The sequence below is a fragment of the Homo sapiens genome, chromosome 8, assembly GCF_000001405.40.
Source record: "Homo sapiens chromosome 8, GRCh38.p14 Primary Assembly".
Taxonomy (NCBI): domain Eukaryota; kingdom Metazoa; phylum Chordata; class Mammalia; order Primates; family Hominidae; genus Homo; species Homo sapiens.
In genome coordinates, this window is record NC_000008.11 from 18,604,614 (window position 1) to 18,632,611 (window position 27,998).

The 27,998-nt window shown below is 39.0% G+C and overlaps 1 protein-coding gene and 1 long non-coding RNA gene across 24 annotated transcripts in view, besides 1 other annotated feature; both read right to left on the bottom strand.

Annotated features, from left to right (window-relative positions):
* PSD3 (pleckstrin and Sec7 domain containing 3) overlaps positions 1 to 27,998 on the bottom strand; it is a 557,503-nt gene that overhangs the window by 77,311 nt on the left and 452,194 nt on the right. The gene's annotated exons all lie outside the window — the stretch shown is intronic.
* On the bottom strand, positions 4,386 to 27,995 carry LOC124901896 (uncharacterized). Its single transcript, XR_007060838.1, has 2 exons — positions 7,350 to 27,995; positions 4,386 to 5,089 (listed from the first exon to the last, which is right to left on the bottom strand). It is a non-coding gene; the product is annotated as an uncharacterized LOC124901896 (long non-coding RNA).
* Positions 10,987 to 11,531: an enhancer, noted in NCBI's record as "OCT4-NANOG hESC enhancer chr8:18473110-18473654 (GRCh37/hg19 assembly coordinates)". NCBI's record gives its function as "activates a minimal SCP1, AML or CMV promoter by ChIP-STARR-seq in primed H9 embryonic stem cells {active_cell/tissue: H9 hESC(primed)}" and the evidence as "EXISTENCE:reporter gene assay evidence [ECO:0000049][PMID:30033119]".

Consider the following 27,998-nt stretch of genomic DNA (forward strand, 5'->3'; position numbering starts at 1 on the left):
CCAAGTGCTATTAGCCAAGACAATGGGGACACGGCCTTGAAGGTATTTCAGAGACCTTCACAGCAGCCCCTCTCGAGGCCTAGGAGGGAAGAATGGTTTCATGGGCCAGAGCCAGGGCACTGCTGCCCTGTGAAGCCTCGGGACACTGCTCCTTGCATCCCAGCTTCTCCAGGTTCAGCCATGGCTCAAAGGGGCCTGGGTACAGCTTGGGCTGCTGCTACAGAGCATGTTGGCCACAAACTTTAGTGGCTTCCATGTGGTTTTAAGCCTGTGGCTACAAAGAGGACAAGAACTGAGGCCTGGGAGTCTCCACCTAGATTTCACAGGATATATGAAAAGTCTGGATGTACAGGCAGAAGCCTGCTGCAGTGGTGGAGCCCTCATGGAGAATTCCCTACTAGGGCAGTGTGGAGGGCTAATGCAGGGTTAAAGCCCTCACACAGAGTTCCAACTGGGGTGCTACCTAGTGGAGCTGTGAGAAAAGGGCCATTGTCCTCCAGACCTCAGAATGGTAGAGCCACTGACAGCTTGCACCATATATGCCTGGAAAAACCGAAGGCAGTCAATGCCATCCCATGAGCGCAGCTGCAGGGGCTGAACCCTGCAAAGCCACAGAGACAGAGCTGTCCAATGCTGTGGGAGCCTACCCCTCATACCAGTGTGCCCTGGATGTTAGACATGGAGCCAAATAACAATTTTTTGGATCTTTAAAATTTAATGACTGGCCTTCTGGGTTTCAGACTTCTATGGAGCCTGTAGCCCCTTTTTTTTGGTCCATATATTCCTTTTGGAATGGGAATATTTTCCCAATCCCTGTATCCCCATTGTATCTTGGGAGTAACTAACTTGTTTTTGATTTTACAGGTTCATAGGTAGAAGGAACTAGCTTTGTCTCAGATGACACTTCAGACTTTGGATTTCTGAGTTAATGGTGGAATGAGTTAAGACTTTGGGGAACGTTGGGAAGGCATGATTGTATTTTGCCATGTGAGAAGGACATGATATTTGGGAGGGGCCTGGGGCGGAATGATATGGTTTAGATCTGTGTCCCCACCCAAATCTCATGCTAAATTGTAATTCCCAGTGTTGGAGGTGGGGCCTGGTGGGAGGTAATTGGATCATGATTCATCAATGGTTTAGCACTACCTCCTTGGTGCTGTTCTCATGATAGTGAATGAGTGCTCATGAGATCTGGTTGTTTAAAAGTGTGGAGCACCCCCCTTCTCTTTCTCCTGTGGCCATGTGAAGTGGTGCTCCCCCTTTACCTTCCACCATAATTCTAAGTTTCCTGAGGCCTTCCCAGACACTGAGCAGATGCCAGCATCATGTTTCCTGTATAGCCTGTGGATCTGTGAGCCAATTAAACTACTTTATAAATTATCCAGTCTCGGGTATTTCTTCAGATGAGTGTGAGAATGGACTACTACAGATTTCTACCCTGAGTCTAAATGCTATGTCTAAGCACAGGTTTCTTTAATTTACACAGACTGCTGTTCTTTGAGCTTCCTGTGTATTATTTTGAAAAACCTGTAGACATTATAACTTTGAATAATGTCTCTCCTCTATCATCTTCATGATTGTAACCTGACACTCCATTCTAACTTCTCACTTCATTCCACTTGTGACTTATTCACTCTTTCATATTCTCCATCTCTCTGTACTTGTGTGCTAAATGCTGTGTAATTTTATCTTCAGTACTGGTAGGCCACCTAGATCCAAAAATGTCCTGAAGGCTTAGCATCCCCAGGGTTGGCCACCTCCCCACATTTGTACTCATGCTTTATTCCTGGCCTAACAGGATTTCCCTTTCATTGTTACAGGCTTATCCATTCAGATAAAAGTTATCTAAAAATATTTCATCTATCAGTTTTAGATGTTTTATTATGGGAGAGTTTCAGAATCTGTAGGCCATCACATTGCAAAAAATAGATTCTCTATTGCATTTTTCTTTCCTTCTTTTTATAAGAAGGGAAGAATTTATGCACAAACTTTGTTATCTAGGAAGAATTCATTTGGAGCAGGATGCAGGAGATATTGCAGAGTGAGAACAAGGAGAGAAACTGGAACAAGGGGAACCAGTAAGGAAATTATTACAGTAGGTGAGATAAGAGAAAAAGGCCAGAACATGAATAGAGGCATACGATACATTAAGATAAAATGGAAGGAAAGGGAAAGGCATTAACATTAACTAAGCACCTACACTGCAGCACTCTGAGTGTTGGGCTAACGTTATACCTATACGTTCTATGTGTTCCAAACAATCTTTTCAGGTAGGTATTATTGTCTCTGTTTTATATTTTATGCCCCCATTATTAACTATATTTACAATTCTGAAAGGTAGAGTATGCCCCCAAGGAAGCTACCCATCTAAGGATTTCAAAGCTACTGTACAGGACAATTAAGTAAATATTTTCTAAAGATACATTAAGAAATAGAAAATATCCAGGTGACAATTCTTTGCAGTGGTCGGTCTGCTACTCCTGTGAGGTGGGCACTGAAGGCAGGAAGAGAGATGATGAGATAAGAGGGAAATATAACCAGGTACTTTCTCTAATCTCACTCAACTATAGGACCTTCAAAGGCATCCCTGCTCATGACTACAGATCTCAGAACAGAGGCACAGTCTCTGTGCCTGCCCCCTCAGGTGCTCCCAGCTCCACATTTCTGCAGAATAGTTATCTAATATTACTAATAATTACAGAAGTAGTAATAGCACAGCAAATGATTGCTGAACACATACTGTTTTAGGCACTGTTCCAAGATTTGACCTGTATAAACAAAAGCCCGTAAGTCTATGAGGGATCCACGGTTATAACCTCCATCTCACAGATGTGGAACCTATGACCACCTTCCTCTCACCTCCTATGAACCGGCAGCACTTGTTTCTCCATAGCACTGGGCGTTTTCACTCTGGTTTCCATACAGAGAAAGGCCAGCTAAACTAGATTCGGGAGGCAATGTCTTGGATAAATCTGGGATCTAGGAGTGATATTAAAATTACTTAAGAGCTGAGGCTGGGCACGGTGGCTCACGCCTGTAATCCCAGCATATAACAAGACTCCACTGCTACAAAAAAAAAAAACAAAACAAAAAAAAAAAGGAAGTCAGGTGTATTAGTACATTCTCACATTGCTAATAAAGATGTACCTATGACTGGGTAATTTATAAAGGGAAGAGGTTTAACTGACTCACAGTTCAGCATGGCTGGGGATGCCTCAGGAAATGTACAATCACGGCAGAAGGGGAAATGATTATGTCCTTCTTCACATAGCAGCAGCAAGGAGAAGTGCCGAGCAAAAAGGGGAAAAGCCCCTTATAAAGCCATCAGATCTCAGGAGAACTCACTCATTATCATGAGAACAGCATGAGAGTAATGGCCCCCAACAATTAAATTACCTCCCACCAGGTGGGAACTACAATTCAGGATGAGATTTGGGTGGGGACACAGCCAAACCATATCACCAGGCATGCTGATGCATGCCTATATTCCCAGCTACTTGGGAGGCTGAAGTAGGAGGACTGTTTCAGTCCAGGAGGTTGAGGCTGCAGTGAGCCATGATCGTGCCACTGGATTCTATCCTGGGTGACAAAGTGAGATCCTGTCTCAAAAAAAAAATTATTTAAGAGTTGATTCAGGAGCTACCTTGAGCTGTTGGGAAAAGCACTGTTCCAGTCAGATTGAAGGGACATCCACAGTAAATGGTCTGTACCAGTACACAGTCTCTGAGTATCAGCTCTGGCTTGGGGGCTGCTTCCTGACCAGTATGGGTGAAATTAAGAAGTGAATGAAACCAACAAGCTGCTGTGATCGTTATTCTGAGTCAAACTCACATACACATGAAGACCACATTTCTGCAATAGAAAAATTGGCAGTTCCTCCAAAGATGGGTGATATTGGAGCCATCACTGAATCTTAAATATTACAAACCAGTTATTATTTTCTCTTTATTACTAATTTGAAGAAACATATTTGGAAATATAAAGTACAGTGAATAATATTTTGGCTTTAGTTATTACCACTGATTTTTGTAAAAGTGAAATGCTTAACGGGGAATGAAAAGACAGTATCACCCCTCTTTCATAAAGAGGAAGATATAAAATATTTCTAAACAATAAAATATTCATTAACGAGTAATAATGGATTTATGCCAGAAAAGTTTTTTTTTAATCCACCAAAAGGTATAAGCTTCATGCAGAAGTTTATATTTGCATGCTATACTCTCCAACTTTTCTTCTCAACTGAACTGGAAATGGATTGTGTTTAAGATTTTACTGTTCCAATTTTCTATTTCATTCAAATGGCAGAGCATTTGTTCCTACATCAAAATCTTGTCCTGTTTTTTGACCACTCATCTCTCTGGGTGCCCTGATCATCTTTTTTTTCCTTTTCCTCATGTTTACTATCAGAAAGTCATAATATGGATAGAAAGTCATAATATGGATAGAAAGACATAGTATGAGCATTGCCTATTGTTTTCATTTAACATATTAATCTTTACTTCCTGTCTGTTGTCTTGAAAATATTCTCCCATTGTTCCATGTAAAATGACAAAAAAACCATTTTATTCCCCTCAGAGTAGAGAGAGAGAATTAGCCATATACACATTAATGAGAAGTAATTTATTTTTCAGGGCCTCACCAAGAGTCTTGGCGTGAAGGCCGACAATGCAAATCCTGCCAGGCCAAGAAACAGGTATGTGGGGATGAGGTAGTTCTAATGCAAAATATCTTGAATTTCCTGAGGTTAACGGAGAAAGATATTCACAATATAAAGCAATCCCAATGATGGCATTCCAAAATAAACCCAGCACTTTAATGAACTTGAAAACAAAGATATACTTAGCAGAAGTTCTGTACTAATATAAGTGAGACATCATCTATACTAGCTGTAAAAAGCACAAGGCATTTTTAAGACTGTTCTATTTTCTCAGTGATAGAACTAAACAACTTAAAGTATCTTTAAAACAAAATCCTTAAAGTATGTAGCCTAAAGCATGAAGAAACAGGCTACCTTGATAAGAAGGGAGTTCTGAAGTTCTAATCAATGACACAGTTGAAGATACAACTCACGCAGGGAGGAGTCTGCTTTCTGCAATTGATGTGCAAAGAATTTAAATAAGTTCATAGATGACAGACTCACAGATGATTAAGTGAAGTTAAGGGTAATCCTGTATATTAACCTCTAACTTTCTTTTACAAAATATCCTCAGGCATCACAAGATATTCTATTACATCTTAATTAATAGAGCAGCTCAGGCACTTTTAGATTACTGCTTGAAGCAATCAAGTCCAAGCTGAGCAAAGGAAAATTTACCACTGGGCTATGAGTCACACAGTATTCCAGTATTCAGCAAGTGACAGTATTAATTATCCCTGGTTTATAGCAGCGTGGTAGCACTAAAACAGTACTATTACTACTATATATTCCTAATCACTTATCTTTGAAACACTTAAGGCAATTTACACATTACAAAAAAAATCACTTAATCCTTATAGTCTTTCTCTTTTATAAAAGGATGCTTTGTCAACTCTATTTTATAAAGGAAAAAAGTAGGGCAGCCTTGTAGGAACTGTTAAAGCAAACTAAATATGGCCTTAGGACTCTATACTTCTTTATTTGAGTCCTTGTGGATGAACTGCAACCTAACTTAATAGGTAGACAAGATTGAAAACCTAACTTAGGAGTATGCACCTGTAACAATACCTGAGTCTTGGCCAATCCCAGTGGTTGTACTTCAACCACTCATACACTGCTGAGTGTTCGAACTGTATTCAAATAAGGTACGTGCTGAGCTGTAACCAACCCAGTTGTTTCTGTACCTCACTGCTGATTTCTGTATGTCACTTCCCTTTGTTTGTCTATAAATTTGTTCTGACCACGAGGCATCCTTGGAATCTCTCTGAATCTGCTGTGATTCTGGGGGCTGCCTGATTTCAGAATCATTCATTGCTCAATTAAACTCCTTTAAATTTAATTGGGCTGAAGCTTTTCTTTTAACAGAACCTATACCTATTGCTTTTCCCAGAAAATTATTTCCTTTTCTTATATAATAGCAACCAATGCATATTTTGATAGAGAATAAGAAATGAAAACAAAGAGAGAATTGGAAGAATATTCTATTCAAAGTGTTCCCTAGTGGGGTGCTGTTCATTCTGGATGTGGCTCTATTCCTATAAGAGGTCTCAAGACTTTTACCCTAAAATGTTCTGAAATGCCAGAAAGTATCATAAACTGGGAGCTAGGCACTTAGATTTTATTCACACCATGATGCCCACTATTTCTCCGCTTTTGGACAAGTAATCTAAACATCTCTGGTTAAAAATCTATACAATGAATCTACTACGATGTGCCATAATTACTTTATAATGTTGTTGAGTTAATCTGGGTACATAAGATTATTAGGACACATACCCTACCCCTAAATAATTTACATATACAGGCAGTAACATAAACAATGAAAGTTAATTTAACATGATAAACTGTATAAACTAAATGGTAGCATGGCACTAACCTAAGACAATCACAGTGGGGATTCCAGGAGGTAAAACAAGGAGGAGGTCATTAATTCTGCTTATGAATAGGATTTAGAGGTTAGAGAACACTTTAAATGAGGGTGTAATTTAATGTAGGATTTTGGAAAAAAAAAAAAAAAAAGGTTTTTCTTTTAACCTTCACCTTTTGTACAGTATGTTAGCAGGAAGACATGGAATCAAAATGTGGATCCCAATTTTGGAAGTCTCAAAACATTGCAAATGATCATCATCCTTTAGCAAGACAGCCTAAGAACAACAGTTAAAACACATAATTTTTTATTTTTTAAGAGGACACATTTTAGAACCAGAGAACCTGGTTTGAGATACTGGCTTCACCTGAGTGACCTTGGACAAGTCACTTAGCCAGTCCTATGCTTTACTTTCTTCCTGTATAAAACAGTTTTTCTGAGACTTAGATGAGTTAATATATGCAATCCTTTGGATTTTTTTTTTAATTAAAGATACTGTCTGCTAAAGAAAATGCATCAAATTTTCATGCTAAAACACAAAGAAAGACTTTTTTTCTCACTTCTGTGAAAATAAGCTGTGAAAATAAGCAATTTAAATCTAAGTTGCTGGAACTTTATTAGAGCCTTAAGGGAATGTGATTAAGGGACCTGGATGGATCACATTAACAGGCAGCTGTAACCTAGGAAGCTGTAAGCTTTGCTTCTCTGATTGTTTGTCTGATTATAGATTAGCCTTTTTCCTTATCTACACTGTTTTGTAAAATGTTGCAAATGACTAAAAGGCAGCAGGGAAGACCCCTTCTTGCTTAACTGTTGATCTTCATTACAGATTAATTTCCCTCTTACCTTTCTCACACAAAGACTTGATGATGACTATCACATTGTCTAAGGTGGAATGTTAAATGAACTCTTTTAAATTGTGAAGTAAATGATAACAAGCTGTAAAGAAGAAAAACAAGCTGTACGGAAAAGAAAAATAACTAAATTATTATAACCCACAAAGCAGCCTTACATAAAAAAAAGTTACAATCCTACTAAATTTCTTTGTTTCTGCCCATATATAAGCAAGACCTTAAGTTTTTACTTCAGAGCACTGGCCTCATTTCTCTGGAGTCCATGTTTCCCAGATTCTTGCTTGAATAAACTCTAAAATTGGATTCTGATGCTTTCAGTTACTTCAGGTTGACATTTCATTCATGTATTCGGAATTTTTTTTGTAAGTCAATGTTTGAGAACACCGCTTTAACGTTACTGATGCATTTTTTTTTTTCTTTTGAGACGGAGTCTTGCTCTGTTGCCAGACTGGAGAGCAGCGGCGTGATCTCGGCTCACTGCAACCTCCACCTCCTGGGTTCAAGCCATTCCCCTGCCTCAGCTTCCCCAATAGCTGGGACTACAGGCGCCCGCCACCCGCCTGGATAATGTTGTTGTATTTTAGTAGAGATGGGTTTCACTATGTTGGCCAGGATGGTCTTGATCTCCTGACCTCGTGATCCGCCTGCCTCGGCCTCCCAAAGTGCTGGGATTACAGGCATGAGCCACCGCACACGGCCTACTGATGCATTTTTAACAGAAACACTTAGCACATACCACCCTTAACTGGGAAGAGAGCTAAGTGTGACACATTTACTCCGATTAATATATTTATTGTTTTCATTTTGTCCCAAGTCCTGTATTGACATTGGAGATATCAAACATGAATGCAAACAATAAAAGTAGACAATAGAAGAGACAAAAGCTGTTGGAGAACTTTCTACCCAAAAGATGAGCCACAGAGTCGCTCAGATCTAACTTAAAAACAAGTATCTTTCCCCACTTGGCCAGGAGACGGTTTCACTGGCAGCCATTACTAGACGTGCAGGAAGAATTTACATGGCTTGGGCTGAGGTTGGAAAACAGGTCAGAACACAAGAGCATGCATCATTAGCTAAGGGTTACCGGAAACGTGTGTGGGAAGCAACAAATCCCAAAATGACTCTCACTACATCATTTTTTTCAGGAAAAATATAAACACCAGTGATAGAGACAGGAGGCAGCCAAGGACCCCTCCTGCCCCCAACACCTGACGAAATGCCGCCTTCAAGCCTAAAACAGCATGAGGGATGAAAAACCAGACTGCCGGTCCGGATGAAGCCCACCCTTTTCCCCAAATGATTCTTTCTGAATAACGCCCATCTGCACATTGGGAGGAGGGGGTGGGGCCTTGGGAAGTTTGCACTGTTTGCAGGGGGGAGGAGCCTGGTCTCTCTCGTTTCTGTGTGGTAAGGTGGGATTTAATCCCTGAGATGGAGAGCCTGTTAGCAGGACTCTTATCTCACTTTGCTGATGCGTATTTCCTTTTTCATTTCTGCCTAATAAATTCCACTTGTCACCCTTCTACGTGTCTGCGAGCCTAATCTTTCCTGGTCGTGTGACAAGAACCCCGTTTTTTTTCCTGCAACGCTAGAGTCACAGAATTATTTTTTGAATCTTAATGAATGATACCTCACATTCTCTATGGCTAGAATGTTCCTCTCCCAGATACCATGACTTGGCCCCTTCACTTCAGTTAGGTCTCTGCTCAAATGTTATCTGTGAAACATAGAAAACGGCATCACTACAGTTCAGGGCTCTAAAGCAGAATCCATTCTCAGGGCTGCCTGCACCACTGGCAACCTTGCAAAACAACCCAGTACCTTGCCTTGAATCTTTGAAGTGCACCTAACCACCACAACCATGATATCCTGAAAAACAGCTGAATTTCACCAGCGCTGCAACTCCTAAACAGCAACAATAAATGAACTATGGACTTGTGCTAAGCCGGCCGCCTCCACCCATGATAATTCCTTCAAAACAACTTGTGTAATCCTTTAGTTTCCTTTGAAAAACCCTCACTTGGTTTGGAACACAATTTGGCTTACAGCCAAATCTGTGTCTCCTGAATTATAATTCCTAAGGGCCCAATAAATGTCTTGTCTTACTGCATTGCGGTCTGGTTTGTCATCTCTTCTTAGTTGACATGCCTCATCCTGGGGTTTCCTCTAATCACTCTCTGCAACATAGGACGTGTATGCTTCCTTCAGTATTTCCTAACCTTGACTTTACTTTTCTTTGGGTCAGTTAACAGCTGTGTAACTTATCACAAAGTTTTTATTAAGCTTCTCCAGCATTAGAATAAAACCTTGAAGGCAAGTACGTTGGTTTGTTGCTGCAACCACAGAGCAGATTAACCCCTTCTCCCCCATCCCCCCCCCAAAAAAATCAGATGTCCTAAACTAGCATGTAGATGGCATCATTCAACAAATATTACCGGGAATTTTTTTTTTTTTAGTGCTTAATCTTTTAGGTAAAACGCAGGATGCTTAAAGAGAAAAGAGGAGGTAGAATAAAACTGTGGTCGATTATTCCAATAAGACATTGAATATGGGAATAAGGTATCAGTAAACACCCAGGCTTAAAAGGAACAAATAAGGCTTAATACATTACTGTGGGTTTTCATGGGTTAATTAAAGAATGAACATTTGTGACAAGTGACTTCAAACTTCTATCAAACAAATGACATTTCATATACATATTTTTTTCTTTTGAGACAGGGTGATTACAGCTCACTGCAGCCTCCAATTGCCAGGCTCAAGCAATCCTCCCACCTCAGCTTCCTGAGAAGCTGGGACTACAGGTGTGCACCATCATGCCTGGCTAATTTTTTTTTTGTTTTGTTTTCATAGACACGGGGTCTTGCAATGTTGCCCCGGCTGGTCTCGAACTGCTGGGCTTAAGCGATCCTCCTGCCTCAGCCTCCCTAAGTGTTGAAATTACAGGTGTGAACCACTGCACAGGCCTCATAATTCTATAAAGTATATCTGACTGAAGGAATATGCTGGAGAACTTGCTGTTTTTAATAATCACTTCAAAAAGTTAGGCATAACAAAAATTTCCTGAAATTCAATGTTAGATATGAATTCTAAATTTCTTTTCAAAGAATATGTCAATATGTTCAATTCTTTGCCGTCTACTTTTAAACTTAACTTCCTCGTAAAGCAACCTTTTTCGATTACCTACTCCACCCTGACTCATTCCAATTACCTACTCCACCCTGACTCATTCTGATCACCTGCTGCACCCTACATTCCAATCACCTGCTCCACCCTAACTCATTCCAATTACCCCCAACCTGCTCTGCCCTGACTCCTGCCAAAGCACTCACCCAGTGACTCTCTTTAAATTAGTCAATCGGAATTAGTTTAGCCTGTGCGGTCTAACCCTAGCCAATAAGGGAATGACACAGCAGCAAGGGCCACGGGCATCAGGGATAAGAACCCCTTCCCCTCCCTTGTCCAAGTATGCGCTCACCATTGTTCCATCTGTAAGGGCGCACCCTTCTATATAGAAGTAACGTGTCTTGCTGAGAATTAAAAAGAAAATTTTATATTTGAGTGATATTTTCTTTTGCAGCACTGAAACTTTATATATAACATTTGATAAGTTCGTTTATGTGAAAGGTGTGAACATTGATCAAGAAAATCAAGCATACTATGATTTTTTTCATAATATCTAGAGCAGTTTCTAGACCTTTTTACATACCTTTTAAGAGCAGGGTGTTAAAATAAATGTAAGGTTAAATCATCGCAGTCTATCTGAGAAGGGCAGGTAACTGCTGAATCAGACAAGTGGGCTTGTCAAGTGACAGCAAATCAGGTTTCCTCAACCTCTGAAGCACCCCAGAAGCCAGGGAAGGACAGAGCGAAGACCCTGCTGTGCACGCATTTCTACAACTAGCAATTCAAATAAGCTATTGTAATTGTAAAACAGCCCAAGGCCCACGGGCATCTTTAAAATGCCTCCGGGCAAAAACAGCTGAAGGTCAATAAAAATAACTCAAAGTGGCTGATGAGCAGCCTCCAGACAGAATCTGTTCTCCAAGGAATATAACAGCCTCACTTGCTTTTCCCCAACCTAGGAGCTCCAAAAGTGACTTCAAGCTTTGCCTACTGATAGGTGTTCCTGGCCCTCATTACAGGGCGAGGGCTCTGGCTTACCACTCACGCGCAGGAGCCAGAAAACGGTCTGCTACAGACTGCACCTGAGGTGATGCTGCTCCACGATGGCCTCTTAGCTTTTCCCAACTCAGACCACGTTTCTTCCATTTATCAGATGTCCAGTGCGTTCAAGTGCTCTTCACTGAGGAAAACCAAAATACCCGACCCTACAATACATTTCTTTGACATATTTTTGAGATGGCCTTTCAGAGGCCCTGCAAACAGAAGTAGCTCTGCAAAGCTATCTTTTGTGGGGGAGATTTGCATCTGTGGAGAGAATCTGTATTGATGGTGGCCAGGCATTCTCCGAGGCCTTCCCTCGTCTGGATCTAGGAAAGATTAACTCAGTGTCTGACATCTTTAAGGGTCTGAAAGAAACATTCACCATCTATTCTCGCTCTCATCATGCCTAGGTTTTACCACCTACTTGTGAGATTTCATTTACTTAACAGGAACACCTTTGCTAGCCAGGCCTCATCTTCCTCTCTTTTCTTTTCTTTTTTTTTTTTTGAGACGGAGTCTCGCTCTGTCGCCCAGGCTGGAGTGCAGTGGCGGGATCTCGGCTCACTGCAAGCTCCGCCTCCCGGGTTCACGCCATTCTCCTGCCTCAGCCTCCCAAGTAGCTGGGACTACAGGCGCCCGCCACCACGCCCGGCTCATTTTTTGTATTTTTAGTAGAGACGGGGTTTCACCGTTTTAGCCGGGATGGTCTCGATCTCGTGACCTCGTGATCCGCCCGCCTCGGCCTCCCAAAGTGCTGGGATTACAGGCGTGAGCCACCGCGCCCGGCCATCTTCCTCTCTTTTCATAACCTGTTTTGATCCAAGCCCCCATTCTTTCTGTAACTTCAATTATAAGGTAAAAGTTTCTCTACTCCATTGAGGGTCGTGTAATCAATCTATGATTTTCCCCTGTGTGCATGTTAATAAATTTGTACACCTTTTCTCTCATTCACCTGGCTTTGGTGAGTTGATTTTTCAGTGAACCTTCAGAGGGTGATGGGGAAGTTTTTTTCCTGGATGACCCCTACAGTATAGAACCTTCTAATCATTTTACTATGTACACACATGCAAAACAAACTGAGATATTATATTTGTTAATTTTAAACTTTTCTACTGGCCGGGCATGGTCGCTCATACCTGTAATCCCACCATTTTGGGAGGCTGAGGTGGGTGAATCACCTGAGGTAAGGGGTTCGAGACCAACCTGACCAACATGGTGAAACCCCATCTCTACTAAAAATTCCAAAATTAGCTGGTCGTGATGGTGGGTGCCTATAATCCCAGCTACTCGGGAGGCTGAGGAAGGTGAATCGCTTGAACTTGGGAGGCGCAGGTAGCAGTGAGCCGAGATTGCACCATTGCACTCCAGCCTGGGTGACAAGAGCGAAACTCCATCTCAAAAACAAACAAACAAAACTCTTATATTTATATATCATACATTGTAAGCCCATAATAAAATTCTAAGCTCCCAACTGCCTGAATGAACCCTACTCTTGGTGAAGGGGATTCCAAAGGAACTTGAAAAACCAGTTTAGGACATGACAGAAAGGGGGTGTTGGACATGCCTCATTATGCCCTCCTCCCTTTGGAGTTTAGGCACAACTGACCAGCACTAACACTAAAATGGAGATCCCGACACTGACAAAACAGACTCTTAGTAGCACTAAGATACCAATTTCAACCTGACTCTAATATAGCATCACATGATGGATAGCAGGTCCTAAGGGAAATCAAAGTATTGTACCCCAAAATGCATTTTCTTTGACATATTTTGAAATGATCTGCAAAGCCGTCTCTAGTGGGGGAAATCTGCATTCTATAGAGAATCTCCCTCCCTTGCTAAATCTTTTCTGGAGAGTCTAGTATCTTTTAAGGTCCAGTAAGAGACATTTGACATCTATTCCCTCTGAAGTCTATTATTTAGAGACTTCATCTATATAACAAGAACCTTGGCTTCCACCCCACCACCCCCTCAACTTAACTCAAATATTTATTTATGCTGACTATAACTCTTCAGATAAAGCTTAAGTCTTTCAAGCAATTGACAATCAGGAAATCTTTCAATCCGTCTATGACCTGGAAGCCCCTGCTTCCAGGTGTCCTGCCCTTCTGGGCTAAATCAATCAATGCATGCCTTATATGTGTTGATTTATGTCTTTGCCTATAACTTTGGTCTCCCAAAAATGTATACAGACAGGTTATAACCCAACCACCTTGGGCACATGTTCTCAGGTCATCCTGAGGCTACGTCATGGGCCATGGTCACTTGTATCTGGCTCAGAATAAGCCTCTTCAAATATTTTACAGACTTTGGCTTTTTTTTGTCAACAATATCATTTTTAAAAATGATGGCAAATGATGAAATTCTATTGCTGTATCTATCATATTTTACTTATTAAACATTTTATTGGCCATTAAACTGTTTCTAAAATGATGTTATTTTGTAACTAAAATAACAACTGGATTCCTTCTATGTACCAGGCAGTGTACTACACACCATAACAGGTATTAGCCGTATTTGATTGCTCTCACCTTAAGGTTTTTGCATTTTTTTTTTCTAATGGGATATTCTTTTCTTTTCTATTTTTGTAAGACGGAGTGCAGTGGTGTAATCATGGCTCACTGCAGACTTAACATCCTGGGCTCAAGCAATCCTCCCACCTTAGCCCCCTGACTAGCTGGGTCTAGGGGCGTATGCTACCATGTTTGGCTAACTTTTTATTCTTTTATTTTGTAGAGATGGGGTCTTAATATGTTGCTCAGGCTGTGGTGGAATACGCTTATCCATGACCTTTGTGTCCAAAGATATCACGGAACTTCCTTTTGTAATTCAGTTCTCAGCCGAGTAACAAGGCATATCCTCTATCTCTACTCCTCCTCACCAAGAGTATTACTGGCATACTGCTTGAGCTCAAAGTGTTTTTTAAAAAATAAATCAATGATCTATCTTGCTTCAAAGCTCAAATTCTTAGGTCTATCTAGTGTAAACAAATAAAAAATCCTAAGCCCTCCAACCAACTGCATGGACCCCCTCTTGACCAAAAGAAACCTAAAAAACTGAATGCCTGCCACGATGGGATGGAAGTTCAGATGCACCTCCTTATATCCACTTCCTTTTCAAGTTCAGGCCCGACTGACCAGCATTACGGTTAAAATGCAGATCAAAAGACTGATCAAAACAGACTCTGTGTGGCAATAAGATACCAGATTATAAACAAGACCTAAGGCCACTGGGGTATGCTGGCTCATGCCTGTAATCCCAGCATTTTGGGAGGCCGAGGCAAGTGCATCATCTGAGATAAGGAGTTTGAGACCAGCCTGACCAACAAGGTCTGACCCACCTCTACTAAAAATACAAAATTAGCCGGGTGTGGTGGTGCGTGCCTGTAATCCCAGCTACTTGGGAGGCTGAGGCAGGAGAACGGTTTGAACCCGGGAGGCAGAGGTTGTAGTGAGCTGAGATCACGCCACTGCACTCCAGCCTGGGCAACAAGAGTGAAACCTCATCTCAAAAAAAAAAAAAAGACCTAAGGCCGTGTGGCCATGTGAGGCAAAGGTGAAGTCACACCCTAACCATAAAATTTCACTAAATGGATTTTTATTAACCTGGTATAACGTGGCTTACTCCCCAACCTGACTCTGGTATAGCATCACATGACAGCAGACCCTGAAAGCAATCACAATATTTTACCCCAAAATAAATTTCTTTGAACTATTTTGAAATGACCCTCCAAAGCCGTCCTTTGTGGGGGAAATTAACATCTTTGGAGAATCGCCATTGATGCAGCCAGGCCTTCCCTTTCTAGGCCTTTCCCAGATGTAGGAGAGATTAGCTAAGAGCCCAACACCTCAAAAGTCTGAAAAGAGACATTTATAGTCTGTTTCTCTGAGGGCTGCCACCCATGAGGCTGCTTCTACGTGATAAGGGCCGTGGCTCCCAGAGCCTCCTTAACTCAAGCATTCCTGTCTACTCTTCAAGTCCTCAGACAACAGCTTAACTCTCTCAACCAATAACTCAACCATCCCTAAAACCCACCTATGACTTGTAAGCCCCCATTTCAAGATGCTCACCTTTTGGGGCTGAACCAATGGATACCTTTCATGTACTGATTTATGTCTTTGCCTGTAACTCATCTCCATAAAATGTATAAAACCAAACTGTAACCTGACTGTCTCGGGACTACTTACTGAAGGGTTCTTGGGTTTGTGTTTTTTTTTTTTTTTTTTCCCCAGGCTGTGGTCACTCACATTGGCTCAGAATAAACCTCTTTAAGATATTTTATGGAGTTTGGAGGGCCAGGCATGGTGGCTTACACCTGTAATCCCAGCACTTTGGGAGGCCAAGCCTGGTGGATCACTTGAGCCCAGTAGTTTGAGGCCAGCCTGGGCAACATGGTGCAACCCTATCTCTATAAAAAATAAAAAATTAGTGGGGTGTGACAGCACATTCCTGTGGTCCCAGCTATTCAATAGGCTGAGGTAGGGGGGACTGCTTGAGCCTGGGAGGCAGAGGTTGCAGTGAGCCCAGATCACACCACTGCACTATGGCCTGGGTGAGTGAGCAAGGACCTGTCTCAACAAAAGAAAAAAAGAGAAAACATTTTGCAGAGTTTGATATTTCCATTAACATTAGTGATAACATCTTTTGCATATACATTCTTATCCCCATGATTAATTCCTTTAGGAAACTAGTACGGTATTTTTAATTTCAAATTTTCATCAGATTATTAAAGAATTTGACACACTGCATTAAATTACCACAACAGGGATGGAAGAATTATTTTCTTCTTTCTCCTAAATGTTAATTAAACCGAAATCATAAACAGAACGAGTCAGCAGTGAAAATAGAATAACCTCTAAAAATCACATGCACAGTGAAAACTGAACATTCCTCTTTCAGAAAAATACTTCAGAGATTCTGAACACAGATTTTTTGGTGCTATAAGATTGGCAGTTTATATTCCATTGTTCCTAGTCAAGAGTATTGCTTCCAGCCAGGCACGGTGGCTCACGCCTGCAATCCCAGCACTTCGGGAGGCTGAGAAGGGCAGATTACCTGAGGTCAGGAATTTGAGACCAGCCTGGCCAACACAGCAAAACCGCTTCTCTACTAAAAACACAAAAATTAGCCCGGCATGGTGGCACACACCTGTAGTCCCTGTTACTCAGGAGGCCACAGTAGGAGAATTGCTTGAACCAGGGAGACAGAGGTTGCAGTGAGCTGACATCGTGCCACTGCACTCCAGCCTGGGCAACAGAGTGAGACACCGTCTCAGAAAAAAGACTATTGCTCCTGATGAGAATGATGGCGGAGGACCTCTTTCAACCGACTTTATTGCCAGAAAGCATGGATTTTAAAGACATGAGCCATCATTACGGAATGTAAAAACCTAGAACTTAATCTTTTAGTCTAAATTTTGAATTGTGAATGGGGTATTTCCTATCTAAAACAGCCAATATTCCATTAAAACTAGAGAGTCACGTGACAAGGTGCTCCTGCGCGTTCACATGGCTGCCCTCACAGTGCTGTTGTTTGGCCTTGTATTAACATCTTAAACTGCTCCGTTACACACCCTGCTGCCAGAGAACAGCCAAGTGCCAAGGGAAGGGAAAACCTTAGCCTAGTTTTAAAATAATTGCTTGGCTTTGCCTGTACTTAAAGAGTCTTGCTCTAACAGGAGGACACAACTGTCTTTTGGGAAAAAAAATTCCACTTTTATTATCTCTTAATTATAGTGTCGCTGTTCCCAATGTTACACGATAGCAAAGAATTCTGCCTGCATTACCATTATAAACTATTTTCAGTATGGATGACTCAGAATAAATTCTACTTTCTTAAATTTGACATGTGGGACTAAATTTTCTAAACTTTTGATGACAGGCAGGTGTGTAAATCCCTCTAAAGTGAGTGAACCTCTCCAACCTTGTCAAGGTGCTCCACACCACTCCTTGTATCCACAGTATTTACAATGAGATTGAAAAGCTGAACCACACATAGTTCTCACCTCCTTAAAAAGCGATGAATATTTTAATATTTCAAATTCAGAACTAATCTCAGGACTGTACAATGACTAAAGAATCTATAAAAGAATGTGATTAAAATATTTTAAAATTATTAAAGTGATATGTCCACACAATTAGCCTCCTTTGATTCATTTCTTCCCACCTCCTCTGTTCCCATTTTACAAAAAAACCTTTTGAAACAAATTACTTCTCCGAGTCGTTAAGTGACATTATATCCCTAAACAATGTGCTTCTACCACTGTGTCATAATAGGCTGTAAACACACTCTCAGTTTTGTGCTGTGCTAGATGAGAATTTAACAAACTTAACTATGCCATTCCATCTTCCCAATATACTTACATAGCTTTTATTTGTATCTGTATTGATTACCTCTGTAGTTTTATGGAGCATAACATTATTATTATTTTAGTGAAAAATTTTTTCCCCAGCTTTAGTAAGGTGTTATTGACCAATAAAAATTGTACATAAGTGTACAATTTGATGTTTTTACATATGAATGGTGAAATAATTACCACAAGGAAGCTAACTGACATACTTTTCACCTCACATAGTTGCCACTTTCTTATGTATTAATTTGACAAATAATGACTGACATTATTTCTTCTTTCTCCAGTACAGGCAGCATCTTCTGACTTCCTCTCTGTAAGAGGAGCTTAACGGATCTCTCTCCCTGCTCCCTCTTAGTTCTATCCAGTTTTACCTCCCACCTTCTATCATCTGTACTCTTACAGGTTCAAGTTGCACAATATTTATATTTTAATGTGTACCACAATTAAATCTTTCACATATCTAAATGTGAGTAACCAAAATTCTATTACTATGGTAAGATTTTAAATTATTAATTATGCTATAATGATGGCGATCACAAAGTCATTTTTTCTTTTCAATTTTCATTCAAAAAATCTTTTTGTAGAGACAGCTATAACCATATGGTCCAGGCTGGTCTTGAACTCCTAGATTCAAACGGTCCTCCTGCCTTGGCCTTCCAAAATGCTGGGATTACAGGCGTGAGCCACTGTGTCTGGTCACCGTTTTCTGTCGCTACGGATTTTTGTTTACTGAGTTTTCTAATTGTAATTTTCCTGTGCAGATTTTAAGAAAAACATCCTTATATGTTTCTAAATTTTCCATGCAATCAGATGTTCTATTGAGTTTTAAAAATTTTATTTATAGGCCAGGAGCAGTGGCTTATGCCTGTAATCCCAGCGCTCTGGGAAGCCAAGGCAGGAGGACTGCTTGAGGCCAAGAGTTCAAGACCAGTCTGGGCAATATAGTCAGCCCCCGTCTCCCCAAAAAAAAAAAAAAAAAAAAAAGAAAAAGGAAAAAAAAAAAATTAGCTGGGCATGGTGGTATATGCCTGTAGTCCCAGCTATCTGGGTGGCTGAGGTGGGAAGACTACCTGAGCCCAGAAGTCTGAGGCTGCAGTGAGCTACAATTGCATGTACCACTGTACTCCAGCCTGGGTTACTGAGCGAGACTCCATCTCAGAAAAAAAAAAAAAAAATTGTAAAACATATAAGACTTCAAAAGGTTATCAAGAGTAATAAAGTAGGTATACATGTACTACCGCCAAATGTAAAAAATATATATTATCAATATAGTGAAACCACTGGGTACTTGTCAGTGACTGCCTGTTATTCTCCTTTCCAGAAGTAACAACCATTCTATGTTTAATAATTTCAATATATGAATGTATTCTTACTAAAAATAGTATTGTTTTGCATGCTTTCAAATGTTATCTTACGTGCAGATTCTTCTGCAAGCCGCTTTTTTTCATTCAACATTACCACTGGTGAGATTCCTCCATGTTGATACGTGGAACTCTAGCTCCTTCCTTTTCAATTATATGGATATACAAAATCCATTCAATCTCTTATTAATGGACATTTAAGTTTTTAAATTTTGAGCTATTATAATGTTGCTATAAACATGACTTCTGTAACACTAAGAGTTTTTATAGGTGTATACACCCTTATGACTAATTAACTGAGATATAAGAATAAACATTTCCAACTTTATTATTGCCAACTGCTTTCTGAAGTACAAATGATACCACTAATACTTTTGCAGGGTAGAAGAGGGCCCATTGCTCCAAATCCTTACCAACACTTGGTATTCTTTTAATTTTTGTCAAGGTAACATGTGAAATGACATTTCACTATATGTTTAATGAATATCCTTGAATATCAATAAGGTTGAATATGTCTTCATATATGTATTGATCATCTCAGTTTCATTTTCTGAGCATGGCCTCTTCAAGTTTTTGCCCATTTTTCTACTGAGTTGTATTTTTTATAAGTAATTTAAAATTTCTCGGGAATTGAACAATGAGAACACATGGACACAGGAAGGGGAACATCACACTCTGGGGACTGTTGTGGGGTGGGGGGAGGGGGGAGGGATAGCATTAGGAGATATACCTAATGCTAAATGACGAGTTAATGGGTGCAGCACACCAGCATGGCACATGTATACATATGTAACTAACCTGCACATTGTGCACATGTACCCTAAAACTTAAAGTATTAAAAAAAAAAGAATAAAAGAAAAAATAATGAAAAAAAAAATTTCTTTATAAATATTACCATGGATCCTAATCCTTTATTGGTAATATGCTACAAGTATCTTAATCTGTGAATTATCTTTCATTTTTAAGTACAATTTTAATATAAAGTCTTTACTTTTAGTGTAATTATACATATCAATTTTTTTTTACTGTTTTTGTAAATATGTATGTATATACGTATGCCTGTTTATATGTAGAGATGATGTCTTGCTATGTTGCCCAGGCTGGTCTTGAATTCCTGGGCTCAAGTGATCCTCCTGTCTTGGATTCCCAAAGTATTGGGATTACAGGTGTGAGCCACTGTACCCAGCTGCTTTTATAAATCTTAAGAATTCACTTTCTACCCAAAAGTCATGAAGTTACTGTCCCACATGTTCTTCTAAAAATCTTAGAACCTTGTTTCTCAAATTTTTATCTTTAATCTACGTGAAACTGGTTTTTGTGTTAGAACTGAGGTGGGGAATACACACACACACACACACACACACACACACACTTCTCAACATAAATTACGGAAGAATTTTTGCTTCTAATTATCTGACTTACTTTCTATATCATCCATCAAATTTTTATAAACACTGGAGACTGCTGCTTCTGGGTTCTCTTTTCCAACCCATCATCCTATCTGTATGTCTTATTATCTTGGAAAATGTCAACATGGCCCTACTGTACTTCTCCCCCTTAATGTATGAGGAAGTTTGGTATAAGGCTACAGGGAGCTGTGAAAACTATGGTCAACCAGAAAATGCCTACATCCAGGCAATTCAGTGTTTAAACAGCACTGTGTTGGCCAAGTAAAAGAAATGTTCAGGCTTCACTGTCCCTAGCTTGAGACCTCCAGTTATCTAAATACATGCTACACAGTGACAGACTGTCCCAACTACACAAAAAATGCAGAATTTAAACATTTCATAAGCATATTTTCTCATCGGAATTGCTTTTAACAATATGCTACTATTAGTTTGGTATAATCAGATTTTTGTTCCACCAGATACACTGCTATTCTATACTACATCCTTGGTTAAGATGCTTAGGATCAGTGTCTTCATGTATAAAATGAGGACAATAATAATATCTGCTTTATAGGACCAAGATTAAATGTATTAATGCATGAAATGCTTAGGATAAAGCTCTAATATTTAGCAATCATTTAATTATCACTATTGTTATTGTGTAGATCATTTATATTTTGGGTATGTTGTTTCCAGTTTCTTTCTTGATTTCCACAAGTATGTTACATCATATTGAGAAAACTAAGAGCTTATACTGAATTTTGTTTTTTATTGTATCTGACAAAACCCAGGAGATGCGTTTTGTTTTCCAAATTTGACTTTTCAAAGCTTTCCCTTAATGTCAGATTTAATAGGTCTTTGTAAAAATACATACTTCTAAGATAGGTACAACAATTTGTCTCCTGGAGGCAGAATTTCTGAACTGAGCATAACTTTAAAAGGCAAAAAATGAAGAAAACCTCCAAGGTTTAAAAATATGGATGCAGTCTGACAAACTGAATGTTTAAAGTTAATTAAAAAAAAAAGACACCAAATCTTGAGTGAAATAAATGGTCCATTTGAGACAAGTGTATCAGCATTTAAAACAAAATAACCTTTCCATGCAGCTTTGATTCAAATTTTCACTTATAAAACACTTTTTGTAATATTTGTCATCAGAGCACCTGGCCAGGTTTAAATTTACATACAAATGTAATATAGGTCTACCTATAGTGACCATGCTTAATCAAAGTAAGTATTTAGAAAATAAGTATCTACTTTTTGTGTCCAAAAAACAGCATTCAGGATTCTCAGAATTATTTGGAGCTCCTATTCCAGGAAAGCTCCACTGTTGTTTTCATTTTTTTCTGTGTAGTGTAAATAAAAAGTGATGTGTTTTATAGCAGGTTGTGTAAGTCCTTACTATAAAACATTTCTCTAATTTGTTTATAGTGACCATCTCTCAAAAGAAGAAGGCAAAAACATTCAGAAACAATTAAGGCATTCTGGTAGATTTCCAAGAAGGAGCAGCAGCCAAATAGTTAGATAAACCTGTTCAACCAGACATGATTGAAAATCCAACAAATGAGGTTGGTGGGGGAGACAGGATTAGACGGGAAGGAAACGAAAGCTTTTCTACATCTCCAAATATATAACTAAACTGTTTGCTTTTACTTGAATGCTTAGAATTCCTTATTAATTTCATAGTTCAGTAAATATTAGGTCTTAAAGCGGGAAGCAACTGGAAAGACGTTTCTTAACAAAAGGGATCATGAATCAGCTTAGTTCTGCTTATGCCCAAGAAACAGTAACTGCTATAGAAACTGCCCTACTATAATAACTTAAAAAGTCTATGTAAGTATATAAAACAAAACTTTTTAGACATTTCAAAACAGAAAACATTGGATTATAATTCTGAAGAGAAAGAAACAAATGAGTTAAGACTGGCTTACTGCTTAGAGAAAGAGTCTCGGTTCCAACAGTGGAAGAGGGTACCTAAACAGAGCCTGTGAGTCATGCTGAGTTGAGGAGGTAAGAAAGGAGTTTAGTGATGCGGAGATAAGAAAGGAGTTTAGTGATGCTGAGAGGGCTAGAATTTGTAGAGCTGCGTAAAACAGAGGGGAGAGTTACAAAAACAGATGGTTCTGAAGACCTGCAGAGGATACTCTGCTCTTGGCTGTAGCATCGATCTTAGCACTAGTGAAAGGAAATAATTCAAGGCATGGGAAAAATAAAGTAGTGGGATGGACAATTTCAAGGGCTCACACAGGGCTAAGAAGAATTTATGTTTTCATCAGCTAGAGTGGATAGACTGTGTAATACATGCCATATTGGAAAGAGGCTGAAGAAGAACAAGAATGCCTTATTAATGGAAATATTTAAATAAGTCCCAGAATAAAGACTGCTCTGGATCCACCAGAACAAAGGGTAAAGGCAAGCGTCTAAAGAATTCAGTTAATCTGCAAGTTACTTACCCGCACACCAGGAGAAAATCCAGTGTTTTTTTTAGATGAATACAACTAAAAGTAGCACCTGAAAAATGGAAAATTCACAATGTCTGGCACTCAAAAATTACAAGGAATGCAAAGAAAAAGGAAAAAAAAACCAACTATGACTAAAGCCAGCAGAAAAAAAATAATGCAACAGTTCCAGAAACGACAGAAAGGAAGGTTATCAAAGAGAAGAACCTTAAAAAAGCAATTATAAACAGAATAAATATATTCAAGGACATGAAGAAAAACATCAACCTGATAAGGAGAGAAACGGAAGATATAAAATAGACCCAAGTTGAACTTCAAAGATAAACATGCTGATTATGAAATGAAAAATGAAGTAAATGAAGAATAAAAACTATCAAATAAAGTACTGAAATGACAAAGAGTTAAAAATATTGGAAAGAGCTTCAGGAAACCCTTGGGATAGCACTGAGTATCATATAGCAAACAAGTCCCATAACAGGAGTGGAGGCTTTAAGAAATAATGGCTGAAAAAAACATGAACCTATGAATCCAAGAACCCCAATAAACACCAAATAAGGAAAACATAAAGAAAATCACACTAAGGCATCACATAATAAAATTGATGAAAACCAGAGATAGAAAAATCTTGAAAGCATTCATAGTAGCAGAAAAAGCCATCTTGGGTGCAGAGGAACAAAGATAAGAATGATAGGAGACTTTTTTTGTCTGAAATCCTGCAGGGCAGGGAAAAATGAAACATCATCTTTAAGTATTGAAAGGAAAAACAACCTGCCAAAGGATTCTATACCCAGTGAATATACATTCCTAAAATTAAGGTGAAAATAAAGATATTTTCACACTGATAAAACATGAGAAAAATTCCTGACAGCAGTTATGTGGGGGTAAAAGTAAAAAAAAGGTTTCTGCTTAAAGCAAAAATATTAACAATGAACTACTTTAAGTTTTAGAACATAGAATTAAAATATAGGACAACATCACAAAGGCTAGGAAGAGATAAGGGGAATTAACTTGCTATAAGGGTCTCAAACCATAAATGAAGCAGTACAATTTGAAGGTGAACTGTGACAAATTAAAGATGTACACTGTAAACCTTGCAGCAAACACTAAAATAATTAAAGAAGTACAGCAAACAGGCCAATAGTGACAAAAAACAGAACCACACACAAAAAATAATCCTACACAAGAAAGGAAAAGACCAGACGGAATAAATAAGAAACCAACAGTAAGACGGCAGATTTAAAGTCAACTATACTAATAACTACTATAAATGTAAATGGTATAGGCACTCTAATTAAAAGACAGATACTGTGATTTACAATAAAAAGCGAGACCCACCAATATTCCATATAATAGAAAGCAATTTTAAAGACACAACCATAAATTAACAATAAAAAGTTAGAAACAAAATTTGTATAGCATGCAAAAACTATGAAGGAAACTAAAGTGGCTGTATTAATATTAGACAAAGTAGACTCCAAAATAAGGAATATAACCAGGGGTGTCGGACGTCATTTCATGACAAAGGGGTCAAATCATCAGGAAGACATAATATATATAGGTATAAGGGATGCAAAATGATATAGAAACTTTAGAAATTTCTTAAAAAGTTAAAGATATATTTAGCATATGGTGAAGCAATCTTACTCTTTTACTCCTAGGTAACTTCTGAAAAGAAATGAAAACATATGTACGTGCAAAAACTTATATGTGAATGTCCATAGGGGCTTTATTTATAACAGTTCAAAACTGGAAACAACCAGAATGCTCAGCTGGTGAATCAATAAACTGTGGGATATCCAAATAATGGAATACTTATTAAGCAATAAGAAGAGAGAAACTATTAATTCACACAACACCTAACAATATACATGAATCTGCAAAGAATAACACTAAGTGAATGAAGCCAAACACAAAGCAGTCCCATGATTCCATTTATTGCAATTTTAGAAAAGGCAAAAGTATAGGGCCCAAAGACAGATAATCATCTGTCATAACCGTCATAGGATGGGAGTAATACGAGAAGCAATTACTGCCAAAAGTACAGTTAAACTTTTCTGGGTAATGGAAATGTTATTTATTTTAATTGTGTTGATGATTATATAACTATACATTTTTCAAAACTCAAACTATATACTCTAAATTGGTGAATTTTAGTTTTTGTAAATTATTAGAAACCATGCACATTCTGGATTGTAAGGCTGAATTATCTGCTAACATTAATGTGATTTGGAAACCTTGGGAAATTGAAATGGGGATATCCAGGAAGAGCCTGAGGAATTAAAGGCAGCTGAAACTTCCACGCTCCTCCTGATAGCCCCATGGAAAAACAGAGGTTAAAAGTCCTCCAGTGATAAAGCAACTGACAGGAAAGAAGCCTGGAGATGGGCACGTCTTAACCCATCCATATATTTTCCCTTTGGTTCTGAGGCAGGAACAGAGATAGAAACAAGCAGAGGCAGGTTCCTTTGGAAAGCAGGACGAACTTCCTAACTTGCTACAAAGACAAAAGCCCCATGACACTTAAAACTGCCTTGACCAATCAGAAATTCTCAAGACAGTTAACTAAGGCTTTAAAGGAGATACAATGGCAGAAAAACTTCTAGCCTGGTACAAGGTGTCTGTGATGTCTCAACTGCTAAGCAATCCTCAGGTTCTGTATCTATATTCATATGTATTAGGCCGCTGAGGGAGAAGAGCTTCTACCCGGAGAATCCTCCAATAGAGGAGGTTTCCTGGGCCACTGGGTCCAGGAAAACAGTGGACAAGGAAAATTTTATCAGTAGAATCTGGGACTTTGGAATAAACTAACCAATTAAGTCAATCCATTGCTAGGAAATGAATCAATGAAAAGATGCTCACATGGGTTAACTGTGCTATATACCTGTCTAGCAGGAAGTAGTAAATACTCCGAATAAGTGATAGCTGTTATACTTCCCCTTTTTGACTTTTCTTGAATTGAAATTATTCTTTTTTTTTTCTCTAGTACTTTATGTGAGGTATGTCAGATACAGTCAACCCTCCATATCTGTGGGTTCTGCAACTGTGTATTCAACCAACGGTGGATGGAAAATATTCCCTCTAAAATTCTGTCTGCATTGAATATGTACAGACTTTTTTCCTTGTCATTATTCCCCAAAGAATACAACATAACAACTATTTACACAGTATTAGATATTATAAGTAATCCAGAGACAGTTTAAAGTATATGGGAGGATATGCATCAGTTATATGCAGATACTATGCCATTTTATATCAGGGACTTGAGTGTCCTTGGATTTTGGTACCTGTCAGAGGCCCTGGAATCAATCCCCTACAGATATTAAGGGACAACGGTATTTTCGTATTTTTCACTTAGCCTATAGATTTCAGTGCCATCCATACCTGACTGAGGGGAATGAACACTATCAACAAATCTTAGCCTTGGAGACAGAAGCTGCAGTTGGGCAGGCATGTTACAGAGAGATGGTATATTTGTGGTTGTAAAAGGAAAACTGCAATGTTTGGCAAAAGTATTATTCAATGTATGAAGAAGGGTGTGTCTGCACACTGGAAAGAAACAAATGGGTATCTATTGCTTTGTGTGCCAAGAACTCCCATTCTCTGAGACCAGTATCTCATTCTTACTGTCATTGCAAGCAAGTGGGGGCTGTCAATCACAATATTCCATCCTCTCAGTGATACAAGTCAGAATCCTGTCCTAGAACAGACTAAATGAGAAGTTAGGGAAGAAGAACAATCCTCTTTGGTGTCAAAATTAAACACGTGATCTATAGCACTGCTAATAACCATGTATAAAGGACCTCATTCCAAAGAATAATGCTGACACAAAAAATCATGCAGAGATAGAAATGGAGAGTACGTCCTGGTGACAATCCATCTTCAGGTGTGCCCTTTTGCTAAGATGGATTCACTTGCTGTCACAACTATATGAGTGAGTTCTGATACAATGTTGTGGGATAAAATTAAGTAGTCTAGTAATCTAGTATATAAGGTGCACAGAAGATATGGTGGATGCACTCTTAAAGAACTTGGGAACATTAAGAAATTTGTTCAGCATTGCTAAGTCCATGTCAAAGCCACCCCACTGCAATGTTTCTCTCCATGTAAGCTAATAGAATATGCTAACACATTAAGAAAAAGGATCCAGCTACAGATAGAAACAGTGGTACTATCCATCTCTTCACCCCAAAGATAATTCTGAGCAAACATGTCACCTTATCTTACTCTGTTCAAGTATATCAAATTGCTATTTCACTCTGCAAAGATTATTCTAACTATATAAGCATGCTCTATTCTTCTCAAACTCCAAACACCATCATTGATCAAGATAATCATGCCTCACACTTCACAGAAAAATCAGAAGCCATCCAATTAGGCTCCTTCAATTTCCCAAAACTAATTATACTATGCTCTCCTACATCTCACCTGTCCACCTTCTCAAAGGCGAGTCATTCCACATATGTACTGGATATGAATTCCCTCCCTCCATCCTTTGTCTCTGGGACCTTACACCATTAATTTTTCTATGCGTTGCAAATTCAACCTTTCCCTCAACCACCAGAAATGTAAACTTCATGAAGACAGAAACCTTGTCCCTCCTGCTCAACCCTGTATTTCTGGTGGCTGGCACAGCAGGTAGTCAGTATTATTTGTTGAAGCCATGACTAAATAAATGAATGGATAGAGAATGAATAAATTGAAAGGAGTTCTCCCTTTCTAAAGTTCTATAATTCTGCTTAGAGAAGAGCAGGTGCCACATTGGATTTTTAATTTAGGGTTAGAGGCTTTATCCAATTTCAAGAATGTGTCTATAGATAAACATAATTTTTTCATCCTTGACTTTCAGATAAATTCCCTTTAAATTTTGAGCATAAAGATAAAATAAATGAAATAGAAAATGACAACGCATGATACTTA